Source organism: Homo sapiens, chromosome 10 (assembly GCF_000001405.40).
Source record: "Homo sapiens chromosome 10, GRCh38.p14 Primary Assembly".
Classification (NCBI taxonomy): domain Eukaryota; kingdom Metazoa; phylum Chordata; class Mammalia; order Primates; family Hominidae; genus Homo; species Homo sapiens.
In genome coordinates, this window is record NC_000010.11 from 49,241,809 (window position 1) to 49,255,292 (window position 13,484).

The 13,484-nt window shown below is 41.4% G+C and overlaps 2 annotated features.

The window, feature by feature from the left end:
- Window positions 1,193-1,864: an enhancer, noted in NCBI's record as "OCT4-NANOG-H3K4me1 hESC enhancer chr10:50451046-50451717 (GRCh37/hg19 assembly coordinates)". NCBI's record gives its function as "activates a minimal SCP1, AML or CMV promoter by ChIP-STARR-seq in naive H9 embryonic stem cells {active_cell/tissue: H9 hESC(naive)}" and the evidence as "EXISTENCE:reporter gene assay evidence [ECO:0000049][PMID:30033119]".
- Window positions 12,659-13,187: an enhancer, noted in NCBI's record as "H3K4me1 hESC enhancer chr10:50462512-50463040 (GRCh37/hg19 assembly coordinates)". NCBI's record gives its function as "activates a minimal SCP1, AML or CMV promoter by ChIP-STARR-seq in primed H9 embryonic stem cells {active_cell/tissue: H9 hESC(primed)}" and the evidence as "EXISTENCE:reporter gene assay evidence [ECO:0000049][PMID:30033119]".

Sequence of the window (13,484 nt, forward strand, 5' to 3'; positions counted from 1 at the left end):
AGTGGGGCGGGAGGAAGGAGAGGACACTGAATTTGGCCATGTCCACGTAAGGTCCAGGGATGTCCTCCTCTTCCAGGACAGTCCCAAGTACACCAGGCCTAGAGAGAGGCCCTTTCTCAGTCAGGGTTCACACCTGACTTTAGTCAGGGCAGCAGAACTCAGGACAGCAGGAGAGGCCTCCCTTGTCAAGAGTCAGGAAAGAAACCCTATTCAGAGAGGCTGCCACACAGGGTCAGGTCCAGGGGCCTGAGGATGAGGGTAGTTTGGCCAGGAAAGGCTAGGTGTTAGAGCACTTCATACTGCAGGGGCCTGAGACTCCTGGTCCCTTCGTCTCAGTTCTGACACTGTCTCCCCTCTCTGGTACCCGAGAGAAGTCCAGAACCCACCTGGGTTTCAGGCCTCCTGAAAGTGGGAATCAGAAGGCCTGTCCACTGTCTTCCCAAGAAGCAATGAGATGCCTGCAGCCTCTGTGTGTCAGACATGACCTGGGTTCTCCACTGCATGTGGTGCTGCAGATACAAGCCAGAAATCAGGAGAGAGGAGAGGACGTGGGGCTTTTGCAAAGCAGAGCCCTGAGTTAATTGAAGATGTTAATAACCGGCTTCCCTACCAACTCACTGCGTGACATAGGACATACGTCTTAACCTCGTCCCCAACGAGAAAACAAAGATAACCATCACTATCGCTTTGCCACCTGTGTGGAGGGCAGATGCCCTGACATGCTAATGGGCGCATGAGTTATGTATCCCAGTGTCGGGTCAGTCCCTGGTGCTAGGATGGCACTTATGTCCCTCTTTGGGGGCCCAGGGGTGGCATTTGGCGGATCTAACGGCCAACAATCTCAAGACCTCAAACCCACCCACGGTCAGTTAACAAGCGTCTAGCAGGTGACATTTTTATTGTTGTTTTCCCCTAAAGGCTGGGGCTGGAAGGCAGCCAGCGCTGTGTCCCTGGGCTCAGCATCTCACACGCATTATCTCACGTGTCCTCATTGCAGAGCAGGAGCTGAGGGTCAACGAGCTGGCTGGTATCCCGGGGCTGGCTTCATGACTTGTCCTCCTGCTCCCAGCCCAGTGCCCCTGCACTCTGCCCGGCAGCCCACAGGGACCAGAGAAGCAATGGCAGAGCCAGTGGGCAGAAGGAGCAGACAGAACGGAAGGTGGAGTGGCCATGAAGACAGGATGGGCACCCACTCTCCTGCCTGGCAAGGGGAGGGGAAGGAAAGAAAATGCCGAGGCATCAGATTGTTTTCAGATGAAACAAAGCTTCAGGTGAGAAAACCATTTAACAAGACCAAGAAGACCATTCCTGACCGTTTCTGAACTGCACATGCATTGAGTGTCTCACGGGCTTCAGGGAGAAAGCGGTGAGCGAGCAGGCAGGCCCTGCCTTCAGGATGCCTCAGGAGACCGGGGAGATGGACAGTGCAGAGCTAAGGCAGAGACAAACGAGTAAACCAGTGGATCGTAAAGGTGGGGAGCACACTGTAGAACACAGAAGGCGCCTAGCGTTAGGGAAAACCACTTTAGAGAGGGACATCGCAGCTAACAAAAGAAGCCATTTGCAATGACAATGTAGCATTCATAAGACTTCACAGTGAGAGTCACAGGCATCAGAAGATAGAGAGCCCTGCAAGGAGTGTGGAAGAAAGGACTGGAAGGGGAAATCGTGACTGCAATAGGTTTTAACACATGCCTTCTAACTGCTGAAAAATCAAGTAGTTAACAAAAAAGGGACATAGAAATTATGAGAATTATAATTAATAAGATTGGATCAACAAGTAGAATCTAGACTCTGTGCCCTATAGACAATACTCCTGGTTATTGAGCATCCTGAGACATTTATAAAAGAAGAAATAAAAACCTAAAAACCAGAAATTTTCCATGCAATATTCTAAAACAGAAATACAATAATAAAAGTTGATAACAAAGTTTAAACGAGCAGATGAGATCTTTCACTTCCCCTGGAAATTAAAGAGAAAAGGGAAGCGTGTTCTTAACTAACTCTTGAATCATAGAGGTCACAGTTGCAATTACAGACTCTTGGGAATAAACAGTAGAAACAAAAACACTGGATTTCAAAGAATATGGAGTGTGGCCCGAAGTAGAAGCAGAAATAAGTTCATAATCTGAAGAGCTTTCATTATATTAAAAAGTATGAGTCAAGAGCATGAGAAGTTAGCAGGAAAAAGAAAACAAAAGCAAGGCTAAGTAGGACAGGTAGAGGGAAACAACAAAGATAAAAGCAAAAATCAATTCCAAGAGCAAATCAAATAGAATAGTTGGAAAACGCCCCATGCTAAGAGGACGTCATCAATAAATCCTCCACAAACTGGCTTTTCATGTGTGTGGGGGTGGGAGCGGGGGATGGAGAGAGGGAGCTGGAGGAGAATCACTGCAAAATAGAGAAATATCTAGTAAAGCTAACCAAAAACAAAGTGGTGGGGGGGGAGAGTTATACAAATAAAAATAACCAGTCATGTTATGTGGGATGTAACCCATGTAAGAGAATTACAAATATTATTATGAAAGCTTGTATTGAAATTTATTGCAAAAAGTGCAAACATACAGATAAATTGCTTAATTTTCTGGAAAAAGAGCAAATGGTTAAAACTGGCTTTAGAAAATTAGGGACCTGGGAGTCAGGGGATAGACAATATTCCCATCAAAAGATTTTTTTTAATTTACTTTACTTTAATTGTAAAGTATCTTCACAAAGATGACCCATGGCCACAGGGCCATGCCTGGATGTCCCCTTTCACATTTCCAAGCCACAGTCAGTCATCATGCCAAAGAAACTCTCCCAGAGGATGAAAAATACGGTTAGTCATCCTATTCAATTTCGGAAATGAACATAAATCAGATATCAAAACTTGACCAAGACACCACGAAAAAGCTACGATGGACCAATTTCAGCTTCATGTATGAATGTGAATGCAAAACTCAGGGCCAGCTTCATGAATATGCTGTCTGTGCAGTGACACAAGAGGGGCTCTGTACTTGGTTTAATACTCTGCCATCACCATCTTGAAATTCTTAATCTTTGAACAAGAGGTTCCACATTGTCGTTTTGCTCAGGGATTGGCAAACTACATACCCAGTTCTGGCAAAAATACTAGCAAATCAAATATGATAACACAATAAAATAACTTCTACTTTGATCAAGGTGATTTTATTTGATTAAAAATTAGGAAACCTAGTAATACATATTTGGCATGGATTATAAAATGATGATGTTAACAGATGCTGAAAAGACATTTGATGAAACCACACACAAAGATAACATTCTTTTCACTTTAAAAAATTGAATGGTAGATTCTGGAAGAGCAAAAGACAACCTTCCAAAGGAATATTTAATCCATTAATGCACAGCTTCATTACCTTTGAAATAAAGCGTATAAAAAGAGACACACTGCTATCATCAGCATTAGCGAACACTGAATCAGAAGTTCAGGCTGGTACAGTACGGTGTGGGGTGACAGATGTGGAATGATTCCAAGAAAGGAGAGACAGCATTGTGTTATTTGCAGACAATATGGTTATAAACTAAGAAGACTCAAGAGGTTTGACCTAAAAAACTGTTTAAATCAATAAGATTATCAGGTGCAAGAGAAATAAACATAAATCAAGAATATCACTAAACACCAGCAATAATTACTAAAAAGGCCTAATAACAATGACTTCTTCAAAATGGATTTTTAAAGCATAAAATAACCAGAAATAACTATTATAATACATGTGTGTAATCAACATAAAGAAATGACAAAAGTTTATTGAAATATATAAAGTAATATTTTAATAAATGGAGAAAAGAAATTGCAAGTATATTGCAAAGTTGCCGTAGGGTCTCTGAAATAGGCACAAATAAATGAATGTTCATTGATTTCCAATTAAATAGTTACTACAATTACTATCAATATACCAGTGGAATTTCTTAATGAAACAAATATTTATGAAATAATTCTAAACTTTAAAAAATAAACAAGGGAGAAAAGTTGGAAGTATTTTTTTAAATGGGGAATTGTTCTGCCAAATTTTAAAGTGTATTCTAAAGTTCTAACAATTAAGTGTTTTATTGGCGGAATAATTTGCAAACAGATCAATGCAACAAACTAAATAGGCACAGAAAGAAATCTCAAAAAAATATAAGAACTAACAAGATGACAAAGGGAACATGACACCCAAGGGGAATGGAATAGATTAGTCATCAAATGGTATTTTTATTTATAAAGGAAACCTTAGATAAAAGAAGTAAATACAATTCAATAATTACTGATACTGGGACAGAGGAGGCACCTCTAAGATTAGCAATAAAAATACCACAAAGAGGGGGAGGAGCCAAGATGGCTGAATACGAACAGCTCCAGTCTACAGCTCCCAGCATGAGCGACGCAGAAGATGGGTGGTTTCTGCATTTCCATCTGAGCTTTGAAGAGAGCAGTGGTTCTCCCAGCATGCAGCTGGAGATCTGAGAACGGGCAGACTGCCTCCTCAAGTGGGTCCCTGACCCCTGACCCCCGAGGAGCCTAACTAGGAAGCACCCCCCAGCAGGGGCAGACTGACACCTCACACGGCTCCAACAGACCTGCAGCTGAGGGTCCTGTCTGTTAGAAGGAAAACTAACAAACAGAAAGGACATCCACACCAAAAACCCATCTGTACATCACCATCATCAAAGACCAAAAGTAGATAAAACCACAAAGATGGAGAAAAAACAGAGCAGAAAAACTGGAAACTCTAAAAAGCAGAGCACCTCTCCTCCTCCAAAGGAACGCAGTTCCTCACCAGTAACAGAACAAAGCTGGACGAAGAATGACTTTGACGAGCTGAGAGAAGAAGGCTTCAGACGATCAAATTACTCCGAGCTACAGGAGGACATTCAAACCAAAGGCAAAGAAGTTGAAAACTTTGAAAAAAATTTAGAAGAATGTATAACTAGAATAACCAATACAGAGAAGTGCTTAAAGGAGCTGATGGAGCTGAAAACCAAGGCTCGAGAACTACATAAAGAATGCAGAAGACTCAGGAGCTGATGCAATCAACTGGAAGAAAGGGTATCTGTGATAGAAGATGAAATGAATGAATGAAATGAAGCGAGAAGGGAAGTTTAGAGAAAAAAGAATAAAAAGAAACGAACAAAGCCTCCAAGAAATATGGGACTATGTGAAAAGACCAAATCTACATCTGATTGGTGTACCTGAAAGTGACAGGGAGAATAGAACCAAGTAGGAAAACACTCTGCAGGATATTATCCAGGAGAACTTCCCCAATCTAGCAAGGCAGGCCAACATTCAGATTCAGGAAATACAGAGAACGCCACAAAGATACTCCTCGAGAAGAGCAACTCCAAGACACATAATTGTCAGATTCACCAAAGTTGAAATGAAGGAAAAAATGTTAAGGGCAGCCAGAGAGAAAGGTTGGGTTACCCTCAAAGGGAAGCCCATCAGACTAACAGCGGATCTGTTGGCAGAAACTCTACAAGCCAGAAGAGAGTGGGGGCCAATATTCAACATTCTTAAAGAAAAGAATTTTCAACCCAGAATTTCATATCCAGCCAAACTAAGCTTCATAAGTGAAGGAGAAATAAAATACTTTACAGACAAGCAAATGCTGAGAGATTTTGTCACCACCAGGCCTGTTCTAAAAGAGCTCCTGAAGGAAGCACTAAACATGGAAAGGAACAACCAGTACCAGCCGCTGCAAAATCATGCCAAAATGTAAAGACCATCGAGACTAGGAAGAAACTGCATCAACTAATGAGCAAAATAACCAGCTAACATCATAATGACAGGATCAAATTCACACATAACAATATTAACTTTAAATGTAAATGGACTAAATGCTCCAATTAAAAGACACAGACTGGCAAATTGGATAAAGAGTCAAGACCCATCAGTGTGCTGTATTCAGGAAACCCATCTCACGTGCAGAGACACATATAGGCTCAAAATAAAAGGATGGAGGAAGATCTACCAAGCAAATGGAAAACAAAAAAAGGCAGGGGTTGCAATCCTAGTCTCTGATGAAACAGACTTTAAACCAACAAAGATCAAAAGAGACAAAGAAGGCCATTACATAATGGTAAAGGGATCAATTCAACAAGAAGAGCTAACTATCCTAAATATATATGCACCCAATACAGGAGCACCCAGATACATAAAGCAAGTCCTGAGTGACCTACAAAGAGACTTAGACTCCCACACATTAATAATGGGAGACTTTAACACCCCACTGTCAACATTAGACAGATCAAAGATACAGAAAGTCAACAAGGATACCCAGGAATTGAACTCAGCTCTGCACCAAGTGGACCTAATAGACATCTACAGAACTCTCCACCCCAAATCAACAGAATATACATTAGTTTCAGCACCACACCACACCTATTCCAAAATTGACCACATACTTGGAAGTAAAGCTCTCCTCAGCAAATGTAAAAGAACATAAACTATAACAAACTGTCTCTCAGACCACAGTGCAATCAAACTAGAACTCAGGATTAAGAATCTCACTCAAAACTGCTCAACTACATGGAAACTGAACAACCTGCTCCTGAATGACTACTGGGTACATAATAAAATGAAGGCAGAAATAAAGATGTTCTTTGAAACCAATGAGAACAAACACACAACATACCAGAATCTTTGGGACACATTCAAAGCAGTGTGTAGAGGGAAATTAATAGCACTAAATGCCCACAAGAGAAAGCAGGAAAGATCCAAAATTGACACCCTAACATCACAATTAAAAGAACTAGAAAAGCAAGAGCAAACACATTCAAAAGCTAGCAGAAGGCAAGAAATAACTAAAATCAGAGCAGAACTGAAGGAAATAGAGACACAAAAAACCTTTCAAAAAATTAATGAATCCAGGAGCTGATTTTTGAAAGGATCAACAAAATTGATAGATCGCTAGCAAGAAAAATAAAGAAAAAAAGAGAGAAGAATCAAATAGGTGTAATAAAAAATGATAAAGGGGATATCACCACCAATCCCACAGAAATACAAACTACCATCAGAGAATACTACAAACACCTCTACTCAAATAAACTAGAAAATCTAGAAGAAATGGATAAATTCCTTGACACATACACTCTCCCAAGACTAAACCAGGAAGAAGTTGAATCTCTGAATAGACCAATAACAGGAGCTGAAATTGTGGCAATAATCAATAGCTTGCCAATCAAAAAGAGTCCAGGACCAGATGGATTCACAGCTGAATTCTACCAGAGGTACAAGGAGGAAATGGTACCATTCTTTCTGAAACTATTCTTATCAATAGAAAAAGAGGGAATCCTCCCTAACTCATTTTATGAGGCCAGCATCATGCTGATACCAAAGCCGGGCAGAGACACAACCAAAAAAGAGAATTTTAGACCAATATCCTTGAGGAACATTGATGTAAAAATCCTCAATAAAATACTGGCAAACCGAATCCAGCAGCACATCAAAAAGCTTATCCACCATGATCAAGTGGGCTTCATCCCTGGGATGCAAGGCTGGTTCAACATATGCAAATCAATAAAGGTAATCCAGCATATAAAGAGAACCAAACACAAAAACCACATGATTATCTCAATAGATGCAGAAAAGGCCTTTGACAAAATTCAACAACTCTTCATGCTAAAAACTCTCAATAAATTAGGTATTGATGGGACGTATTTCAAAATAATAAGAGCTATCTATGACAAACCCACAGCCAATATCATACTGAATGGGCAAAAACTGGAAGCATTCCCATTGAAAACTGGCACAAGACAGGGATGCCCTCTCTTACCACTCCTATTCAACATAGTGTTGGAAGTTCTGGCCAGGGCAATTAGGCAGGAGAAGGAAATAAAGGGTATTCAATTAGGAAAAGAGGAAGTCAAATTGTCCCTGTTTGCAGATGACATGATTGTATATCTAGAAAACCCCATCGTCTCAGCCCAAAATCTCCTTAAGCTGATAAGCAACTTCAGCAAAGTCTCAGGATACAAAATCAATGTACAAAAATCACAAGCATTCTTATACACCAATAACAGACAAACAGAGAGCCAAATCATGAATGAACTCCCATTCACAATTACTTCAAAGAGAATAAAATACCTAGGAATCCAACTTACAAGGGATGTGAAGGACCTCTTCAAGGAGAACTACAAACCACTGCTCAAGGAAATAAAAGAGGATACAAACAAATGGAAGAACATTCCATGCTCATGGGTAGGAAGAATCAATACATGAAAATGGCCATACTGCCCAAGGTAATTTACAGATTCAATGCCATCCCCATCAAGCTACCAATGATTTTCTTCACAGAATTGGAAAAAACTACTTTAAAGTTCATATGGAACCAAAAAAGAGCCCGCATCACCAAGTCAATCCTAAGCCAAAAGAACAAAGCTGGAGGCATCACACTGCCTGACTTCAAACTATACTACAAGGCTACAGTAACCAAAACAGCATGGTACTGGTACCAAAACAGAGATATAGATCAATGGAACAGAACAGAGCCCTCAGAAATAATGCTGCATATCTACAACTATCTGATCTTTGACAAACCTGAGAAAAACAAGCAATGGGGAAATGATTCCCTATTTAATAAATGGTGCTGGGAAAACTGGCTAGCCATATGTAGAAAGCTGAAACTGGATCCCTTCCTTACACCTTATACAAAAATCAATTCAAGATGGATTAAAGACATAAACGTTAGACCTAAAACCATAAAAACCCTAGAAGAAAATCTAGGCTTTACCATTCAGGACATAGGCATGGGCAAGGACTTCATGTCTAAAACACCAAAAGCAATGGCAACAAAAGCCAAAATTGACAAATGGGATCTAATTAAACTAAAGAGCTTCTGCACAGCAAAAGAAACTACCATCAGAGTGAACAGGCAACCTACAAAATGGGAGAAAATTTTCACAACCTACTCATCTGACAAAGGGCTAATATCCAGAATCTACAAAGAACTCAAACAAATTTACAAGAAAAAAACAAACAACCCCATCAAAAAGTGGGCAAAGGACATGAACAGACACTTCTCAAAAGAAGACATTTATGCAGCCAAAAAACACATGAAAAAATGCTCACCATCACTGGCCATCAGAGACATGCAAATCAAAACCACAATGAGATACCATCTCACACCAGTTAGAATGGCAATCATTAAAAAATCAGGAAACAACAGGTGCTGGAGAGGATGTGAAGAAATAGGAACACTTTTACGCTGTTGGTGGGACTGTAAACTAGTTGAACCATTGTGGAAGTCAGTGTGGCGATTCCTCAGGGATCTAGAACTAGAAATACCATTTGACCCAGCCATCCCATTACTGGGTATATACCCAAAGGACTATAAATCATGCTGCTATAAAGACACATGCACACGTATGTTTATTGCGGCATTATTCACAATAGCAAAGACTTGGAACCAACCCAAATGTCCAACAATGATAGACTTGATTAAGAAAATGTGGCACATACACACCATGGAATACTATGCAGCCATAAAAAATGATGAGTTCATGTCCTTTATAGGGACATGGATGAAATTGGAAATCATCATTCTCAGTAAACTATCGCAAGAACAAAAAACCAAACACCGCATATTCTCACTCATAGGTGGGAATTGAACAATGAGAACACATGGACCCAGGAAGGGGAATATCACACTCTGGGGACTGTTGTGGGGTGGGGGGAGTGGGGAGGGATAACATTGGGAGATATACCTAATGCTAGATGATGAGTTAGTGGGTGCAGCACACCAGCATGTCACATGTATACATATGTAACTAACTTGCACATTGTGCACATGTACCCTAAAACTTAAAGTATAATAATAAAAATAAATAAATAAATTAATTAATTAATTAAAAAAATACCACAAAGGAAAATACTGATAAGCCATATAATCTGTGTCCATATATCACATATAGATTATATCAAAAATGCCACATTCAAAAATAGAAAGGACAAACTGGAAAGGAATATTTTCAACAAATATGATAAGAGGGCAATAGTCTTATTAAGACTATTAAAAATTAAAAGAAAATTAATTACAAACTAAGAAAAAAACTTACTGTGAATCAAGACATCAATAGAAATGTGGGTTATATACAAAAGCAAAATGTCCGATAAGCCATAAATATATTTTTTAAATGTTCAGCCACACCGGTAATCAGTGAGGTGGGAATTAAAACAATGAGATATTGTCCAGCACATATGGAACTGGCAAGGAGAAAGGGAGTTATTTTTGTTCTTGTTTTTAATATTGAATGTGATGATTCAATATTGAATGTGATGATTCAATATTGAATGTGATGATTCAATATTGAATGTGATGATTCAATATTGAATGTGATGATTCAATATTGCTGGTGGCAGGATAAAATAAATTCTGAGGGATGCAAATAAATTGCGCAAATTTTCCGAAAACAATTTGATGCATTAGGAGGCTTAAAATTTATACCTTTTGATTCAATAATTCCATTTCTACAAATGTATCCTAAAAAAGAATTTAGAGCAGCACCCAGGTGAAAATACGGGAGCAATCAACACAGTATTAGCTTTGTCCCAAGTACGTTTACCTCATTATCTAATACATGTTTTGCATTGATTCACATTTTCTAGTTAGACAAATTTATTGTTTTAACTTTTTATTTTGAGAAGGTTGAGATTCATGTGCGGTTATAAAATACAGTACAGGGATCCTTGTACCCTTCACCCAGCTTCCCCCGGTAGGAACGTCTTGTGTAACTGTAACACAGAATCACAACCAGGAAACGGGCACTGACACCTTCATGTTATTCACATTTCCCCTGCTTTACATGTACTTACGTGTGTGCATGTGTGTAATTCAATGCCATTTCATCATGTGTAGATTAGAGAGACCACCACCACAACAAAGATATCATAGGGATCCCTTGTGGTTCACAGCCTTCCTCCCCCTCCACCCTGAGCCCTGGCGGCCACTAATCTGTTCTCCATCCCTCTCATTATGTCATTTCAGGAATGTCATATAAATGGAATCGGACAGGACATAACCCTTGGGACTGGCTTATTTTACTCAGCAAAATCCCCTCGAGATCACCCCAGCTGTGCATGGACAGTTTGTTCCTTTTTGCTGCTGAGGAGGGTTCCGGGGGATGGAGGTACCACCACTTTTCAATGTTCACCTGCTAAAGGATACTTGAGTTGTTTCCAGTCTTTGGCTGCCATGAACATTTGTGTACAGGCTTTACAGTATTATCTTTAAGAGCAAAAAATAAATAAAAAAGAACACAATTTAGAATTCAAATGTCATCCAACCATAGGGAAATAATTAAATAAATCAGGGCAAACTGAATATTTTGGTGTCATTAAAAGTTATGTCTAATTGGCATACTAAATGAGCTAGACTCCAAGGTACAAACAAAAAATGACTTTCTGTTTTTCCCTTCAGCCACTAGCTTCAGGAATGGAACATCTGACCTCTCTTCCTTGCTCCTGAACAACATTTGGACACAAACCAGTTTTTTCGGTTCCTTTCAGGGATTTGATCATGCATTTTCAAAGTATTAAAAAGTCTTGTGTGCTCTAAATCAAAATCTGCCTCTTTCATCCAGTTAAAATCTTCTTCCCTCCACCCAGGGGGAAGTGGGATGTGATGTGGCCTTTCCTCCCCAGCTCCTGTGCCTCCCCTCACCTGTCTGCCACCCCTGCACCCTCCAGGGCTGGGTGGGAGGAAGGAGGAGGGGGGCGCAGAGGCCTTCTACTGTTGTACCAGGTTTCCTGTGGTCTCTACGCCATCCCCTCATGTCAGCTGTGTGGTTCTCTCTCTCTTTCTCTGTGTGTGTGTATGTGTGTGTTTCTGTGTATGAGTGTGAGTATGTGTGTGTGTCTGTGAGTATATGTATGTGTGTATGTGTGTGTGTATGTATGTGTATCTCTCTGTTTATGTATCTCTCTGTGTGTGTGTGTATGTATCTGTTTGTGAGAGTGTAAGTATATATGTGCATGTATGTGTTTCTCTCTGTGTCTCTATGTATGAGTGTATGTCCTTATGGATGTGTGTGTGTGAGTATATATGTTCATGTATGTGTGTCTTTCTTTGTGTCTCTGTGTGTTTCTGTGTATGAGTGTGTGTGTGTCTCTCTGTGTATGTATGTATGTCAGTATATATGTGTATGTATGTGTCTCTCTGTCTCTGTGTGGATCCTTCTCTGTGTGTCTCTGTGTGTGTGTCTCTGTGTGTATCTCTGTGTGTCTCTGTGTGTCTGCGTGTGTCAGTCTCTCTGTGTGTCTCTGTGTATGTCTCTGTGTGTCTCTCTCTGTGTTTCTGTGCTGTGCCTCTGTGTGTGTGTGTCTGTGTGTCTCTCTGTGTCTGCATGTGTGTGTCTCTCTGTGTGTGTCTCTCTCAGAGTGTTTCTGTGTCTGTGTCTCTGTGTATCTCTGTGTGTGTGTGTCTGTGTGTCTCTCTGTGTCTGTGTGTCTGTGTGTCTCTGTGTGTGTCTGTGTGTGTGTGTCTCTGTGTGTCTCTCTCTGTGTGTCTCTGTGTCTGTGTCTCTGTGTGTCTCTGTGTCTGTGTCTCTGTGTGTCTCTGTGTATGTGCCTCTATGTGTCTCTCTGTGTCTGTGTGTCTCCCTGTGTCTGTGTGTGTGTCTCTCTGTGTGTCTGCATGTGTCTCTCTCTGTGTGTCTCTGTGTGTGTGTCTCTGTGTATGTGTCTCTGTGTGTCTCCCTGTGTCTGTGTGTCTCCCTGTGTCTGTGTGTGTGTCTCTCTGTGTGTCTGCATGTGTCTCTCTCTGTGTGTGTCTCTGTGTCTCTCTCTGTGTGTCTCTGTGTCTGTGCCTCTGTGTGTCTCTGTGTGGATGTCTCTGTGAGCGTCTCTGTGTGTCTGTGTGTGTGTGGCCTTTCCTCCCCAGCTGCTGCCCCTCCCTTCGCCAATCTGCCACCCCTGCACCCTCCAGGGCTGGGTGGGAGGAAGGAAGAGGGGGGCCAGGTTTCCTGTGGTCTTTTGACGCCGTCTCCTCACGTCAGCTGTGTGGTTCTCTCTCTCTTTCTCTGTGTGTTTGTATGTGTGTGTCCAAATGTGTGTCTCTCTTTCTCTCTCTCCCTGTCTCTCTGCATATCTCCCCTTACTCCCTGCCCTTGGGCATGCAGTCTTTGGAGTCCCCTTCACTGGCTGGAGCCTCCGCCCTGCCGCTTACAGAGGCACCCACTGCCCTCCACCTGCACCGCCCCCTACTCCAGCAGGCGACTGTGTAGTGAGGGGCCTCTTCCAGACCCAGGGTCCTTTCAGCCTGCAGGAAAGCTCCACTCTGCCTACTCTGGAGGTGCTTTGCTCCCTACTGTGCCTCCTCTGTGCTCTGAGAGGAAACAGCCTCCAGAGCCGCCTGGGGAGTCGCTGACCGAGCTCTGCAGGACTTTGCCTGAAATCCTTCCCTGCTCTCTTTTCTCTACCCCCACTGGTTTCTCCTGGGAGCGCTTCCTTAACAAACCCTCATCTCAAGGGCTGCTCCGGGAGA